General features: G+C 34.6%; 1 protein-coding gene and 1 pseudogene across 7 annotated transcripts in view; both read left to right on the plus strand.

The window, feature by feature from the left end:
* ANKRD20A7P (ankyrin repeat domain 20 family member A7, pseudogene) overlaps positions 1-8342 on the plus strand; it is a 43177-nt pseudogene extending 34835 nt beyond the window's left edge.
* The window catches only part of LOC112268044 (ankyrin repeat domain-containing protein 18B-like), a 60842-nt gene continuing 49246 nt past the window's right edge, over positions 7270-18865 (plus strand). For all 7 annotated transcript variants that reach the window (XM_047424292.1, XM_047424291.1, XM_047424293.1 and 4 more), the window contains exons 1-3: positions 7270-7357; positions 8904-9053; positions 15946-16075. In XM_047424292.1, coding sequence (XP_047280248.1) covers positions 9007-9053; positions 15946-16075 — 177 coding nt within the window. In that variant the 5' untranslated portion in view covers positions 7270-7357; positions 8904-9006. The remainder of the gene's footprint in view (positions 7358-8903; positions 9054-15945; positions 16076-18865) is intronic.

An 18865-nucleotide genomic window follows, 5' to 3' on the forward strand; every position in this document is an offset into this window, starting at 1 on the left:
ACCCAGTTGCCTATTAAGAGAATCCTACCTTGTGGAATGGGACCTTTGGTGTCAGGGTACAAACAATAACTTTATTTTGACATAAATACATAGTAAATGTTACTAAAATTTAAAAAATCCATCCACTATCACTAGTGGAACTTAAAATATATTAGAAGTGGATATAAGCAGATAATCCATCTAGATACATAACACTATCATAGTATATTATTAGAATTAGAATTTAAAATTTTGCTTCCCTTTCTTATTGGTGTTCAGTTTGGCTCTTAATAATTCAGTGTTTGCCTAGTCTCTAGTTAATCTTCAGAAATATACACGTACTGTAGGGGCTCACTTTTTCTGGTATGCTGAGGTAAAATCTTTGTAAGAGAGGAAGATTTTATAATACTACCTATCAGCTTTGAATTCATTTCTGGTAGATTTTACACATAATGCATTAAGTTTAATCCAAACAAATGCTAAGAGTTCAGCTTGCCAGTTCATATTTCTGTCCTATGTTAAGCCAAGGCAAATTATTTTTCACTTTTTAGTTACAATCCCATAATTTAAGAGTGGCAACACATAGATTAAGTTTCACAGTTAAATTTTAATTATTTTCTAGTATTTTTGTTTATACTTGATTAAAGCTAATTTTAAAACATGCACTCTGACAGAAAAGACATCTGAGAAATAAAACAAGCAAACTTGTTTTCCATTTTGCACCTGCCGAAAAAAAAAAGTCTCAAGAACCAGAACTGGGTAAGAATTGTGATAAAGGGAATAATCTGTATATTCACGACTTTCTTTAAAATTCATTACAAACAAGTTCAAGCTGAATATTGGTGAAAGTTTTGAAAACTCCAGAATTACTGCTTGCCCTGAGGAAGAGCTCCTACATAGTAACTCTAAAGAGGGACGAACAAAAAAGGAGTGCCCTCTAATCTGATGAATCAGGTCCCTGATTGTGAGGAGGAAGATGCATCTGGAGGGTCTAACTCTGTGGCATTCCAGGCAGCGCCTGAACAGAAGAAGCCCATGTCAAATGTCTTTTTATTCCATTCATACTCCAGGTCCCTGAAATACAGTTACCAGTCATCTTCTAAGCTTCATTTAAATGAAAATAAATCAGACTATAAAAATGATAGCAAACCAGACACATAGCTTGTTTCTAACACAGATGATGAAAATTTTTGTAATGATACAGAAACCAAAAAATTAAGGAACCCAGTAATTATGATTGAAATGAAAGATGATTAAGAGTTTGACATGCAAATGGCAAAAAATGTAAACCCAGATACCACTAATTGGAAATTGGACATTAGGCATTGGCCTCAGTCTAGAGATCCAGAAAGTCTTTTTGATTTGTTGTTTACCCACCCCAAAGAAATGAAGCATATGATTCAGATAGAAAGCCACAGTATTTCTGCTGCTACAGATACTTACAAAAACAGAAAACCAATACAGCGTTTATTCCAGCAGCCACTATATGGCAATCCCAGTGCTAACAACTACAGAAGCATGAATCTTGAATTATAAAATGTGAGTTATTCTTTGCCACATAGTGAGAGAACATCAAAAATATAGCTAGAAGACTTATGGGAAGATATTCCAAGGTCACCAACATGGCACATGAATAGATATGTAACAAACCTGCATGTTGTGCACATGTACCAGAACTTAAAGTATAATAATAATTAAAAAAAAGAATGAGGTAGGCATGTTACAAGTTGAGTTCCTGGCTTTGGAGAAAAGCAAGTCCAACTTCAAAAAGACAGAGCTTCACTTGCTGCTTCTTTTTCCTCTTTATCAACTATTTGATTTAGTCAAATTTTCTATTCAAGAAAATCTCATGTGTACAGTTACAGTGGGGTTATCTAAATGTGTAATTATGTGTCAAAGTAGATTAGTTCTGCTATCTAAATAATGGTTCTGGAGAATGTTCTCATAATGTTTGTTCATTAATCAACCTATGTCTCACTATCAGTCTTCCAAGTGGCGTATGAGCTGGGAAACTAATTCAGCCATACACCATGTGACCTTCTGAACCAGATCAACATAAAGAAATTGCTAAAGAAACAAGCTCTAGATTCTAGATTCTTTTTTCTGTATTCATTTAGAGATGATTTACATTTATTTAATGATAGAATGGGAATACAATGGGAGGGAAGCAATGACTGAGACAAGCCACAAAAACACGTCTAGCCTTGAGAGTTGCAACGAATATTCCCAGCCAAATGAGTCTGTTTAATGTATTTTCATGCATGCAAGTTTATCTGCTTAGCTCAAACTGTTTGAACTTACAGTCCCATCATGGTTATTTCCAATATTTTTGAAAACAAACATATACTTACACATATTTTAAAAAATCACCACTCTGCAATATTTCTGTTGAATCAGACCTTACATTATGTTGTTTAATAAAGTATGGTAAGTTTTGGCATGTATGAATTTTATCATATAAGAAGCATAATTTCTTAGCCAAAAATTTAGCCTTTGACTCTTTGGTAGAAAGTTGAGTTCTGTACATTTTGTTCTAAAGATAGACAAAAATCTAGAGATTTTCTTCTTTCAAAGTAAAAGCAGATGAGGCCTTTTTCCACCCTCTGAGGCATTAAATTGCTTTGCTCAAGTTAGACTTTTAATATATCTGACTAATTTGATAAATCTATCTGGTAATTTATGTAATTCAGCAATATGGAATTGTATCATGTTATATGGTGCCATGAAATGCTAGTGAATGCCACCTCAAGAGCTCTGGATGAAACATTTAATATGTCTTGGTTGGTTTGACTCCCATTATCAGTAGATAATGGGGTTAAAGTAGGTAACTGTACCATATGTTTTCCACCTATAAACTTTTGTGGTAATTGAAAGTGAAATCTGGGAAGCATCTCATTTTCCAGAATTCTGCACTAGAAACTCAGCAGTTTCACTCTGCTTCTTTTGTTGTGGCAAACGTTGGTTCCCATAATTCAAAGAGAACCTTTACTTTTTTGATATCACAGGATTCAAAAAAAAAAAAGAGAGATAAAAGGCAGTGGGGAAAAGAGTAGCTCAGTACAGAAAAGGGAAAACTTCTTTACTGTTCCTGAAGGCCTACAAGGTCACATCCTCTTAATCTGGCTATTTCATGTAAAATCCAGGTAGTAAAGACAGAAGACATATGTTATGCCTGTGTCTTTTTATTTCTCTGTTTCTGCCAGCCAGATAGCATAAAAATTTATACCAGATAGCAAAGAGTGGATGGGAATAAAAGCACAAAATGGAGAAGAGCCCTTTTTGAAATTTTAGAAAATTCTTCTATTCCCTCAAACAGAAATGAGCAGATTTGACAAAAATTTCGATGATAAGATAAGAGTATCTTACAATTATAATAATTATGTATAATGATAAAATTAAAGTAAGCACAAAATACTTTTATCATTAAAGTGGTGATAGTTAACCTGAATCAAGTAAAAAAAATCAGGGAAAAAGTTCTTTTTATTGAATAAAATAATAACAATTATTATTCATATTACTTTTATTAAAGGTCAAAGAAGGAAATAATACAAACAAAAGTGAAAAAATACAACTTTCAGAAAATATATGTGATAGTACATCTTCTGCTGCTGCTGGCAGATTAACCCAACAAAGAAAGATTGGGAAAACGTATCCTCAGCAATTTCCCAAGAAGCTGAAGGAAGAGCATGATAGGTAAGCCTATAGCAGTTGTTTTTTTTTTTGTTGTTTGGTTTTGGGTTTTTTTTGTTTGTTTTTGTTTTTTTGAGATGGAGTTTCTCTCTTGTTGCCCAAGCTGGAGTGCAATGGTGTGATCTCAGCTCACTGCAACCTCTGCCTCCTGGGTTCAAGCGATTCTCCTGACTCAGTCTCCCTAGTAGCTGGGATTACAGGCATGTGCCACCATGCCCAGCTAATTTTTTGTATTTTTAGTAAAAATAGGATTTCACCATGTTAGCCAAGCTGGTCTCGAACTCCTGACTTCAGGTGTTCTGCCCACCTCAGCCTCCCAAAGTGCTGGGTTTACAGGAGTGAGCCACCATGCCTGGCCGCCTATAGCAGTATTTCACAGGAGATAATTGTCATTGTGCTATAAACTAATTCAAAGTTGGACTAATATTCCTTATGATTAACAAGTTTTATATTTTTACCAGGGGTAATTAGCCCTGCCTGGTAATCAGAAAAATGCAAATTAACATAAAATAAGATATATTTTGTAAAGTCATGCTGATATTTAAAAAGTAATTATTAGTGTTGGCAAATGTGAGGAAAAAGGCATTCTCATACACTGTTGGTATAGGAAATTGGTAAATTATTTCTGAAGGGTAACTTAGTGCTGTGTATCAAAATTTCAAATAGCCTGACATCCCTTTAACTCAACAACTCCACTTCTGGGACTAGATTTCACAGGAAAACATAACTGGTGTAAACATACACACGCTTATTAAGGGCGTTAATTATATATTACACATAATGAACAATAGGTTAATGAATATATAAAATATATGTAATAAGAAGGTGAATTGAAAGTATTAAGAAAGAATTATAAAAAGTGTGGGGAAACAGATGTTAGACTCTTTAGCCTAGTTTTGGATGACAGTCATCTGCAGATATAGTTTGTGTGAGAGACATCTGAAGGTGTCATCTCACTCTGTAAATCATTTGGAGAAACACCTGCAATATTTCATAAAGATGAAAATTTATTTCTAGTGAACTTATACGCTTGTCAATAAATAGTAACTTTAAAAATTTAGTTGATTGTAAATGATCTTTCCTAATTAGGGAGTAATTATGACTGTGTGATTTAAAAAGGTAATTTTGAACCTGTAACTTCACTGAATTATCTCCGGTATCCTTTTTTATAATATATATTAGTGTGACTAGTAACAAAAACTTTAGCAGAATATTCTTTCCTTACTACTTTTCAAGTATATGCATTCTTTTGAAGATGTTGAAGTGAGAAATTAAATATCTGAGAACTGCAAAGGAAAAATAATCCAGAATATAGAAATTTTATTAGGATAATAAACAACATCTGCAGAGGTATATCACAGGATGAACTCTTTATTTTTTAACAAAATGAATTTTAAGATAAATGTCTTTATCTGTAGATGCACCTTAAAACAAGAAAATGAAGAAAAAACAAATGTTAATATGCTGTACAAAAAAAATAGAGAAGAATTAGAAAGGAAAGAGAAACAATATAAGAAAGAAGTTGACGCAAAACAACTTGAACCAACTGTTCAGTCACTAGAGATGAAATCAAAGACTGCAAGAAATACTCCAAATCGGGTAAATCAATCTTTGGTAAAAATTCTATATTTTAAACTTTATCTTATCACTGTTACTTATAATATCCACTTGATTTAATATATATTGTTTAGGTCTAAAACCAGAAATGTTATCTCATTTTTAAAAATGAATGATGACACTTACAGGTACAATTATTAATATTTATTATAAATCTTGGCATCCACATAGGATATTATTTTATTACAAAGAGCTTTTGAAAACAATAATATGCCATAATATATACTTAGTGATAACCTATTGATAAAAATTTTGTTCCAGGTAAAATTTTTCCTTGTACTTTCCCCTATTTCATATTGATTACTGCACCTAATATTATAAAGAGGAAACAGAAATTATTGCAATCACAAATAATCTCATGATATTCTAAGAAGAGCTCTATAAATTTTATCTTATTTACTATTGGTGTTTTGAAATAAAAGTTTTCTTTCGTATTGACGTATTTACACCACAGAAGTAACTGTGATCTGTTGGAGAACTAGAAGTAGAGTCAGAAGTCCTGGGGAAAATCCTGTAGCTTGCTTATATTTTTAACATTTCTTTTTCAAAATTGTGGTAACTAGATGAGTTCATCAATGAATGTATATAGGAATGACTAGTATAATGTCTAGTTTATGATTTAGTGAATGTAATTCTTATAACTGACTATAAAAGTGTTAAAAGAGTCAAACTGAAATAGAATGTTATCAGTGAAACAGAGCTGTAATAACTCTGGGAAATTTTATCTGTCCAAATACGTGTGAACAAAAGTTCTTACTATAGGGTGGTGTATGGGTTAGATATCAAAGTGTAAATGCAATTTTTTGATATATCTTAATTTAGTCAAATTTGTTAATGCTTTAATTTATGCTTTTGAGTTTGTTGTAATTCAGGGAAAGGCTTTTCCAATTCTGATATTCTTAAAAATTCTCTGGTGTGCGTGTGTGTGTTTACTTTTATAAATTCATTGACTCTAAATACATTTCTGAACTTTCTGGAATTTATGCTCTATAAGGTTCAAAGTTTTGCTTCAACTTTTTCTCCAGGTGGATATCCACTTATGGTAAACTTTTTAGTGTACGGATGTGCAGGTTATTCTTTAACTTCAGAGGTAATCATGATATGTTATTTTATTGAGTACTAGCTAAAACTTTCTTTTGTTTTATTTAGGATTTTCATAATCATGAAGAAATGAAAGGTCTGATGGATGAAAATTGCATTTTGAAGGCAGATATTGCTATACTCAGACAGGAAATATGTACAATGAAAAATGACAACTTGGAAAAAGAAAATAAATATCTTAAGGACATTAAAATTGTTAAAGAAACAAATGTTGCCCTTGAAAAGTACATAAAACTCAATGAGGAAATGATAACAGAAACAGCATTCCGGTATCAACAAGAGCTTAATGATCTCAAGGCTGAGAATACAAGGCTCAATGCCGAACTGTTGAAGGAAAAAGAAAGCAAGAAAAGACTGGAAGCTGACATTGAATCTTATCAGTCTAGACTGGCTGCTGCTATAAGTAAACACAGTGAAAGTGTGAAAACAGAAAGAAACCTAAAACTTGCTTTAGAGAGAACACGAGATGTTTCTGTACACGTAGAAAGGAGTTCTGCTATTTCCAAAGTAAAAGATGAGAATGAGTTTCTTACTGAACAACTTTCTGAAACACAAATTAAATTCAATGCCTTAAAAGATAAGTTCCGTAAGATGAGATAGTCTCAGAAAAAAGTCATTGTCTTTAGAAACTGTACAAAACGACCTAAGCCATACACAGCAGCAAACACAGGAAATGAAAGAGATGTATCAAAATGCAGAAGCCAAAGTGAATAATTCCACTGGAAAGTGGAACTGTGTAGAAGAGAGGATATGTCACCTCCAACGTGAAAATGCATGGCTTGTACAGCAACTAGATGACGTTCATCAGAAAGAGGATCATAAAGAGATAGTAACTAATATTCAAAGAGGCTTTATTGAGAGTGGAAAGAAAGATCTCGTGCTAGAAGAGAAAAGTAAGAAGCTAATGAATGAATGTGATCATTTAAAAGAAAGTCTCTTTCAGTATGAGAGAGAGAAAGCAGAAGGAGTAGTAAGTATCAAGGAAGATAAATATTTTCAAACTTCTAGAAAGAAAATTTAAACATTTGGTTCTGGATACATGTTGAACTTAGTTGAATATAAAAATCTAGATAAAAAGTGTGTTTACCATACTGTATAATTCCATTTACATGAAGCATCCAGAAAAGATAAATGTATAGGGACAAAAAGTAGATTAATGTTTGCAAGGGGCTGGGGTTGGAAGCTGGTAGTGACTGCTAATGGGCATGAGGAATCTTACAGTGATGGAAATGCTCTAAAGTTGGATTGTAGAGATGGCTGCACAACTCAGTAAATGTACTAAAAATCTTTTAACTTTAAGTTAAAACAGATACATTCTATAGTATGTAAATTATATTTCAACAAAGCTGTTTTAATAAAAAAAGGAAAAATGTGTTTACTATATCGGCTTAGAAACATGCCTCATTTCTAGGAAATAAAAGATAGAGGTGAGAGATGATTTACTTTGAGAAAAGACATTGTGTCACCTATGAAATTTTATTAGGCACAGAGTCATATTTTAAGGTAGATAGTTCTGTACTGCTGAAATAGTAATTTTAATGTCTTTACGTTGCCACATGTTAAGACCATAATGTAGTTATAAATGGAAATGTTTACACCTGAAGTATTTTCAAATTAAAATTTAATTAAGTGATTTTCTTCGACACTTAATTCTAGATTCCCCAGATGAATTGAAGTGTATTGCTGTGTCTTGTAATACCTTGCTTTAACTAGCTTTTTATGTATTTTAGTTGGTATAGCTTTGTTATTATTCATATTAATTTAACAAATCTGAAAATATGTCAAATTACGTATTTTTATGACCACGTAATGTTTTAAAGGCACCTACTTGTTATAAAATCGTAATTTAGGATAAATGTGGTAAAACTTAGCAAAACTATATTTGGTTTAGTCTTCCCACTGGTATTTATAGTTTACTTTGAATATTTATATTAATAATTAGCTCATAATTTTTATTTCAAGGCTCAATGACTATCATTGGAATATAATTTTGTTCAGTACAAAGATACTTGTAGCTGTCTGTGATTTACGAGTTAGGCATTAAATCTCCATTTTCAGACTGAGGGGTGGCAGGCTTCACATACAGTGGGAATGGAGTAATTACAGGAGGGAGTTGTAGGAGCTTTGAAGTCAGAGAGGGAGGTAGAGGCCTTTTTACCTGGGGCCTCAAAGGCCATTGGAATTTTACTTTTATTCTGAGATAGGAATCTGTTGGAAGGATTTGAACAGGTGATTGAATATGTTAGGAACTTTGAGGCTGAGTTGAGCTTCAGAGATGATTGAATGTTGGAATGAATCTGTTGTGTAAGTAAGAGAATACCAATTTGGCAGGAAGAGAACATATTCTGCATCCCTCACTGAATTCAGTAATAAATAAAAATGTGTACATGTGATTAAAAGAAGATGAATTGATATGTGTGGTGATAATTTTCAAAGTAGATATGTTAGAATTAAACATTATTAACATAATTTAATAATAAGGCAATTTATAAAATCAGTAACAAATATTTTATCAGGTGGTTGTGAGACAACTTCAACAAGAAGTGGCTGACAGTGTAAAAAAATTAACGACGTTAGAGTCTCCACTGGAAGGTATATCACGTTGTCACATTAATTTGGATGAGACATAGGCCTCAAAGAAGAAATTATTTCAAGTGGAAAGTCAAGTATGTATGGAATTTAACATCTCAACAGTTATTCTGTAGCTAGTTGAATTATATAACGTGTTTTAGGATACTAATTTTGGCAGAAGCTTGATTTTTTATTTTCATTATAATGAATGATTTCCATTTTACTATCTTTATAATGTACTTATTTTTTTATATTGTGACTTTCATTCTACCATTTTGAAAAACCATTGCATACCTTTTCTCTTACAATATGTACCCTTGGAAAAGTTGAGAATTATACATCATTCCTCATAGAAAATTGACTTTTTTCCTGTTAAACAGTATTTTTAAGTAATTTTTGTATTGCTCTGATGAGGCAGGCCAGATTAAATCAGAGGAGAATGTTTCATGGAATGTTCCAGAAAATTGTCTTATTTCTTCACTTTTGTGAATGGACACAGAATCTGTGTCTATTTGTTTCACAGATTCTAGGTTAACTTGTACAGAAAGGCCATTATACTATTCTTTGAAATGTGCATGTTTTAGGTTAATTTACAAACTATTTGAAAAGTTAGGCATTTTCTTTATCTATCTTTTATTTAAAATATACTGTAAAACTGTAGAAATATTTAGATTTGATATAGCATGTACATCAAAAATTAAGAGTTGAGAAAATTATCTTGATCCTGCCTTTGGATTTTAAAAAGATTCACTGAGATGTCATTCACATATCAGACAGTTCAACCATTTAAAATGTACAACTCAGTGTCTATTAGTATGTTCACAGCATTTTCATCACCCTGAAAAGTGACCCCACATCTCTTAGGCATGACTGCAGCCTTCCTCCATGTCCCTCCACCTACCCCTGTAGTAGGCAACCACCGTCTACTTTTGTCTCCATATGTTTGCCTGTTCTGCATATTTCATATACATAGAGTTATACAATATGTAGTCCTTTGTGACTGGCTTTTTCACTTAGCATAATGTTTTCAGAATTCATGCATGTTTTAGCACACATTCGTAGTTTATTTCTTCTTATAGTTAAATGATATTCTATTCCATGGCTATACTGGTTTTCCATTCATTCATCAGTTGATGGACCTTTAGGTTAGTTTCCACTTTTTAGCTATTATGAAAAATGCTGCTGTGAACATTCACTTACAGGTTATTATGTGGACACGGGTTTTTATTTCCCTGCCATTGGACTTTATCCTCAGAGTTAATTGGGCAGATTTCAGCACTTGTCTTGCTCATGCTATCCTTTCTGCCTTCTCAGTTTCTGTTCATCTAGCCTCATTCATTCAGACCTGGCAGACAATTTTTTTGTTTTCATGAAGCTTTCTCTGACTGTTCTGTCATTGACCTTATGTGTTAGCAATCGTTGTCTAGTCTGTGCTGAAAAACTTAGTCCTTAATTTTACATGGCTTTTATTTTTTTATGGAAGATAATTTTCTCTCATTATAAATTTGCTTAATGGGGGAATAATATATAATATGTATGCCACCTATCCTTGCATACATTGAAAATATTTTAGCTTAGAAGTTTGTAGCATACAATTCAATCCTTTATACCATACCAATTATTTCTGCTTTGAGACCTTGACATAGTAAGGTTATATTCTAAATATATTTTTAGCAATTAAATATCAAATCTAACCCAATTAGTCTAATACAGGAGATGCATTCAATCACGTGTTTATGTTTTTCTCTCTATGAAAAAGAATATAAATTGGCCTTTTTTCACTATGCAGCCATTACTGTGTTTCTGGACTGCTCCCAGTCTGTCAGCTGAACAGTTCTGGGTGCAGCTTGTCTGATGAAGGATAGCACAGCCCCTCAATCTGTGTGCTCAGCAGAGTGCTTGTGAAGGCAGCACCACAGCAACAGTTGCTCAGAGGGAACGGATTCAGGAGCCTTGACTTAGCAGTAGAGTCCAGGGTTTTCAGCTCAGTGTCTTTAGCCTGTCTCTGCTGGTCATGTCAGTTACGTACTATTCCATCCAGGAGGTGCTATTTACATTGTAGTACAGAGATAGTCATTGCCTAATGAGTCATACAGAGAGAAAAGTAAGTTATAAATTATGTCCCCCATTTGCTGCAACTCTCAGTGTTAAGAATGATTCAGTGCAGCTATAGGAGACTACTTCCATTGGCATGCCACCTGCGTAAAATACACAATTTTGTTAAGATATACAATAAAATTATTATGCTAATAGCAAATATTTTATGTAGCTCACTATGTTCCATGTAGTCTTCTAAGTGCTTCATGTTAGTCCCCAGTTAAACACCTGGTTTTGGAAGGCTGAGGCAGGAGGATTGCTTGAGCCCAGGAGTTTGAGACCAGCCAGAGCAATATAGTGAGACCCTGTCTCTAAAAAAAAAAAAGAAATTTTTTAAACACTTAGCTGAGGCATGGTGGTGCATGCCTGTAGTCCCAGCTACATTGGGAGGCTGTGGTAGGAGGGTCGTTTGAGCTTGGAATATTGAGGCTGCAGTGAGCAGTGATCAAGCCACTGCACTCCAGCCTAGGTAGCAGAGGGAGACTCTGTCTCATAAATAAAACATGTTGTATAGATTCCCATAGAAGTGAGCTAGATATCAGACATAGAATTATTAGCCACTTTGATGTCTACCTTGGGAGTAAAACATATAATAAGGGGCAGCTTTAAACCGTCTCAATCAATAGCCTCTAACTTCTCGAGAAGGTTCTTATTTCATGAATTTCTAAGCAAGGGACTACCTGGATTAAGACATTTGGTGGACACCATTTTGAGATGAAGAATCTTGAATGGGAAGAAGGGAGATCTCTACTTACTGAAGCTTCCCAATGACATAGTTAAGTGTCCCCCAAAAGAAACTTTAGAACAAGATGTTCATCATGCCATATCTCTATGGAAAAGGAAATTCTTTAAAAGAAAACAAAGGCAAACAATTGATAATCTGATTCTCACGGGAAAGTTTTCATTATCAAAGAAAAAGAGGGCTGGGTTCCATGGCTCACATCTGTAATCCCAACACTTTGAGAGGCTGAGAGGGGTGGATTACCTGAGGTCAGGAGTTCAAAAACAGCCTGGCCAACATGGTGAAACCCTGTCTCTACTGAAAATACAAAAATTAGCCAGGCGTGGTGGTGTGCACCTGTAGTCCCAGCTACTTGCGAGGCAGAGGCAGGAGAATCACTTGAACCCAGGAGGTAGAAGTTGCAGTAAGCTGAGATGGCACCACTGCACTCCAGCCTGGATGACACAGTGTGACTCCATCTCAAAAAAAGAAAAAAAAGGGACAAAGTATATTGGTCCAAAAAAGAAGAAAGAATGAAAAAAAGGACAAAGTATACTGGTTAGTATCGTAACAGTGAGATAGTCCCCCTTTGAGATTAGAAAATAACAGTATACTCAAGGTAACATCAATAAGAACCAACATAAAATAGACAAGATTCACTATCTACAAAAGTAATCTGCACCAAGTAGCAATGTATGAGCATGTGGTGGAGAATATTGTCTATAATATGTGTACTAGAAGGAAGAGACCTCAAGAAAAAGGTCAGAGCTGGAAATGTAGATTAGGGAATCTAGGTCAAAGTTTTGAGATTTTAGGAGTCCTGAGAGAATTTAAAAAGTGAAATAGCCGCCGGGCATGGTGGTCACACCCATAATCCCAGCACTTTGGGAGGCCAAGGCAGGCAGATTATGAGGTCAGGAGTTCAAGACCAGTCTGACCAACATAGTGAAACCCCATCTCTACTAAGAATACACAAAATTAGCTGGGTGTGGTAGCACATGCCTGTACTCCTAGCTACTTGGGAGGCTGAGGCAGGAGAATCGCTTGAATCCAGGAGGTGGAGGTTGCAGTGAGCCGAGATCATGCCACTGCACTCCAACCTGGGTGACAGTGGGAGACTCCATCTCAAAACAAACAAACAAACAAAAAACAACCAGAAAAGGATAGGGCTGAAGAACAGAGGTCGCTGCATTTAGAAAGGAGGCGGGGTCAGAGGAATAGAAAGGGATAGGGCTGAAGAACAGAGGTCACTGCATTTAGAAAGGAAGTGGGGTCAGAGGAGCAGAGGGAGCATTTGGTCACTGCTCTGCTGAGTAAAGCAGGATAAAGTACTTGATGACCGTTGGACTTTTTTATTGGAATTATTAAAAATCAGATTTCAGTATAAAAAACACAATAATTGATGAAAAAAGATTTCTGAATGAGACCATGTGTCATAGAGTCCAATGGAAGGGGAGAAACAGGATAATAGAAAAGCCACAAAAAGTAGACAAAAGTTGTTTTTGTTTATTATAGAAAAAATAAACTTTATTTAAAGAGAAATGGTTAAGAGAAAGGGAAAAACTGAAACCTATGGGTGAATACTTAGAATGACAGTATTTAGCTCAGCCTGAAGACAGATGAGGATGAAAAATGTAATGGGAACTAGATAAGAGTTTTCTAAAATTTGTCTTAGTAAGATGTAATTTAAGAAAACTTGGAATATCTTAAACTATTAAAAACAATATTTCTAGAGCATCTTTAAAAACTAAAATGTAAATATAACTACTCTTTTTTTTTTTTAACTAACCCTTAGTATTTTGTGTGTAAAAACCCTCATTTGTAACAAACATTGTTGGCAGTTTAAATTTCGGAAAAGATAATGATGAAAATTTGAATCATTTTTAGCAGTTTTAAGAAAAGTGACTATTATTGAAATCTGACCTTATTGGCATCAGGTTTATAAAATGCACTTTATACACCTGCCTAAATACATATTACTCATCCACTTATGAGAAATAATATTTTTGAGATAAAAGAGCGTCTCCAGATTTTACAAAAATAATTTTAAACACTTTTTTTAAGCCTAAAAAAGAAAATGAAGAATTAAGAAAACTTTTTGAGTTAATACCATCACTGAAGTATAATGTGAATCGAATAAGAAAGAAAAATGATGAATTAGAAGAAGAGGCAACTGGGTATGGTTTTCATATTGTAGAACATGTTAGCCCTTTATTAATTGATTTAACTCTAATTTTACTTGACTAAAACCTAGATACAAATTCATTTTATGTTTGCATTTTCATAATTAGATGAATTCTATTTTAAAATGTATTTCAGAAACTCACAGCACAACTTTTTAGACATGTGTGTCATGGGGGCGGGAGTCAGCTGAGCTGCTGGGGCAAGGTGAAATTTTTTTTGAATGCCAAAATATTCTTTTTTTTTTTTTTTTTTTGAGAAAAAGTCTGGCTTTGTTTCCCAGGCTGGAGTACAATGGCGCGGTCTTGGCTCACTGCAACCTATGCCTCCAAGCAATTTTCCTGCCTCAGCCTCCTGAGTAGCTGGCATTACAGGCATGTGCCACCACACCTGGCTAGTTTTTGTATTTTTATTAGAGACGGGGTTTTGCCAAGTTGGTCAGGCTGGTCTCGAATTCCTGACCTCGTGATCTGCCCGCCTCGGCCTCCCAAAGTGACATGAGCCACCATGCCCGGCCACTTATTCTTTAATGATTTTGAAAACAATGACCACACCTTGGACATATAATGTCCAGTGCACTCTTCATTATCTAGTTTGAATTTTTATTTCTGAAGATATTTTTTGCTGTCTGTGGTCATTTTTTCTTCCTTTTGTAGTATCCTCTGCTGCATTCAAATGGTTTAAAGACCTGTTTGTGTCATTCTTTAACATCAAATTTATCTTGATATGTAGCTTATATTTTGTTTCTGCTTTTTCTTTTAGATATAAAATGTGGAAATTTACTCATTGTACATGAGTACCTCTGTTGTATACATGAAGTATACATGTTATTAAACTTGTTTTACATAAATAAATTTCATATATATATAAATATATGTATAACTTAAAAAGTAAAATGAACATTCATGTTTTGATCACAGATTTTTTTTAAAAAAATGGAATCTGTCTTTGAAGCCCTGAACACAGCTACTTTTCTATTTATTTACTGAGCACTTAATTTGGTTTTCTGATTAGAATCAACATTTTTCTGTCATTGCCTTTCTCTACATGGTTTTGTATCTCTTTCATTTTGTTGACATTATGTCAGCAAAGATGTCTAGATCTCTTCTTCAAAGTCTTTAAATCGTCACACATCTCTCTGCCCCTTTCCTTTTTTCTAAAACTGCCTGTATCCTTTTTCTCCTCAACTCAGATATTAAAGATGTTTTCTTCTCTTTTTCGACATTGAATGATCTCCTTGATGCTTTTTGTGTGTACTTTTTTTTTCTTCTGATAGACTGTGGTCAGTGGGTATCAAAATGTACTTTTGTGTCTTTTTAAACGTATGTGTTTTACTTTTTTTATCTTGGTTACTCATCTCTGGGTTATGGCTTATATTTAGTAATAGATGATTTTACTTAGCATACCAACATGGATATGAGTAGTTTATTTACAAAAAGTGTATGGTTAGGCCAGGTGTGGTGGCTCACACCCGTAATCCCAGCACTTTGGGAGGCCAATGTGGGTGGATCATTTGAGGTCAAGAGTTCAAGACCAGTCTGACCAGTGAAACCCCGTCTCTACTAAAAATACAAAATGAGCCAGGCTTTGTGGTACACACCTGTAATCCCAGCCACTTGGGAGGCTGAGACAGGTGAATCACTTGAGTCCAGGAGGCAGAGGTTGCAGTGAGCTGAGATCACACCATTGCACTTTGTCCTGGGCAACAAGAGTGAAATTCCATCTCAAAACAAAACAAAAAACAAAACAAAAACACTGTATGGCTATAATATCACTTTACCTGCCATATATGCCATAAAATTGTTCTTCATATTATTTATCTAAGATTATAATTTCATATAGAATGCTTTCAAACTATGTTCAGTTGAAACTGAAAGGAACATAGTTTATAGATTTGTTTCTTCAATATGCCATAACAGATGTTTAAACAATTATTAAATATTTACTCTTAAAAATACTTGACTTACTAATTCTGTACATTTCTGCAGATATAAGAAACTCCTGGAAATGACAATAAATATGTTAAATGTATTTGGAAATGAAGATTTTGATTGCCATGGAGACTTAAAAGCAGATCAACTGAAAATGGATATTCTGATTAAGAAGCTAAAACAGAAGGTAATTTTAAAAAATTATTTTATCTTAAGGTCTAGATTACATGTGTGAGACGTGCAGGTTTGTTATATAGGTAAACGTGTGTCATGTTGGTTTGCTGCACCTATCAATCCATCACCTAGATATTAAGCCCTGCAGGCATTAGCTATTGATCTTGATGCTCTCCCTCCTGACCTTAACAGGCCCCAGTGTTTGTTGTTCCCCTCCCCGAGTCCATGTGTTCTCATCATTCAGCTCCCACTTATAAATGAGAAGATGCAGTGTTTGTTTTTTTCTTCCTGCATTAGTTTGCTGAAGATATCAGCTTTGAGCTCATCCATATCCCTGCAAAAAGCATGATCTCATTCATTTTTATGGCTCCATAGTATTCCATGGTGTATATGTACCACATTTTCTTTATCCCATCTATCACTGATGGACACCTGGGTTGATTCCATGGCTTTACTGTTGTGAATAGTGCTGCAATGAACATACAAATGCATGTATCTTTATAATAGAATAATTTATATTCCAACATATGGTAATTTTAAATCAGTTTTGGTATTAAAAATCATGTAATTTTGGAAAATATTGATAATGGAAAAACCCAAATTCTGCCAAAATATGTTGAGAAAATAGAGGGTAAATATATCTTTTCAGACTTTAAATGCCTCAGGCTCTTAGTTAATCTTCCCCAGATCTGGGAAGACCTAGAAGGGGAGAGATTGGGCTACGTTAATGAGCGCCATTTCAATCTCTTGGCCCTGCAGCAGCCATTTCAAAATATGACAAAAAAATATATTTGGGGGTAAAATATTTTGATTTCCTTCAGCTTCTTCTCTCTGTGATGCTGCACCAGAATCAGGTTGGAAAGGAAGCCACATTATAAGAGTTAATATAACCCATCTGATGAGATTTGATAGTTTGAAGGGTGTGATTCCCAGACCCTTTAGATAGAAATTGAGGCCAAGGAAAACAAGGTCTTATTCCTCAATATAAATCTGTCAGTGCTCTAAGCAGTGAAAGATTTTTCATTTAATTTTACAGACTTGAAACTAATGAAAAGGATAGCTTTTAAAATATCAATCTCTTTTTCTATGAAAAGGACATGCTGTTGATTCTCTTAGGCCTTGAACCCTGGCCAGTGATCTGAAACCAAGCAGTACCTGTCTCCAGATCACTAGTACCAAAATCACTAGTACCAAATTAATTTGGGGTGGGGGGTAACAGGTTTATTGAGAAATAATGAACACACCATGCAATTCACTCATTTAAAATATATAATTTATTAACTTTAGTATTTTCAGAGAGTTATGCAGTCATCATTACAATCAATTGTAGAACATTTTCATCACCCTAAAAACAAACCCCACATCATTTAGCTATCTTCACTAGTTTTCCCTTCCTCCCTCAGCCCTAGGTAACCACCCACCTTCTTTGTATAGATTTGCCTATAAGCCTCTAAAATGAAAAGCCAGTGGTCTACTGTGACTGGCTTATTTCACTTAGCATAATTTTCCATGCTGCATCTGTGCTGCAGCAGGTATTGATGCAGGGTTTTTGCTCCTTAGTTCAGCTCAATCTGGGTTCTTCTCTCATGACCAGGAAAAATTAAGCACACAGACACATTGAAGGGTGAGGAGGACAGAATTTATTAAGTGAAAGGAAAGCTCTCAGCAAAGAGGGGCGTCCTGCAAACAGGTTTCCACCTCACAATTGAATACCAGGAGCACAGGAGCTGAAGTGGCCAGGCTCCTGCTCTGCATAAGGCGTGAATTCCTGGTGACTCCACCCCATCCCCCCAGTGCTTGTGGGCCTCGGGTCTGCTGCCGGCACGTCCAGGCAAGACAAGTCCAGGTTCCCCTATCTGCACATAACGTCTGGTGTAAACACTTGTGAGGCTTGTTGGGGATTCTCCAGGGACCCTTCCTTATCTGCCTAGGCATTTTGCTGTCTCCTCCTAATACAGTATCAGTACTTAGTTTCTTCTTATTGCAGAGTGATATTCCATTGTATGGATACATCAAACAGTTTATTTATCCATTCACCAGGTGATGGACCTTTGGGTTCTTTCCCACCCAAAGGTGATGGACGTTTTGGTTCTTTCCACTTTTTCACTCTTATTAATAATGCTGCTGTAAACATTTATGTATGAGTTTTTGTGCTTGCATGTGTTTTTGATTTTCTGGAGTATATACTCATGACTGGAATTTCTGGGTCGTATGGTAACTTCATGCTTAACCTTTTGAGGAGCTGCCAGTTTGTTTTCCAAAGTGGCTGCACCACTTTACATCCCCAGCAGCATTGGATAAGGGCTTTAATTTCTTTACATTTTTCCTAACACTTATTTTCTCTTTTTTATTGAATAAAGGTTTCATCCTGTGGTGTGAAGTGATACCACATGTGGTTTTGATTTACTTTTTCCTAATGACTAATTACATTAAGCATCTATTAATGTGCTTATTATCCATCTTTATATCTTCTTTGCAGAAATATCTACTCAAATTCTTTGCCCATTTTTTAAATTGGGTTATCTTGTTATTTATGAATTGCAAAGGTTCTTTATATATCCTACGTATGTAAGTCCCTTATCAGATACATGCTTTTCAAATACTTTCTTCTACTCAGTATCTTACCTTTTCACTTCTTGATACTGTCTTCTCAAGCACAGCAGTTTTCAATTTTGAAGTTCATTGAATCCATTTTTCCTTTGGAGTCATAGCTAAGAAAACACTGCCAAATGCAGTCACAAAGATTTATGCCAGGGTTTTCTTCTTACTTTATTTATTTTTTGCATGTGGATATCCAGTTGTC

The sequence above is a fragment of the Homo sapiens genome, chromosome 9, assembly GCF_000001405.40.
Source record: "Homo sapiens chromosome 9, GRCh38.p14 Primary Assembly".
Taxonomy (NCBI): Eukaryota; Metazoa; Chordata; class Mammalia; order Primates; family Hominidae; genus Homo; species Homo sapiens.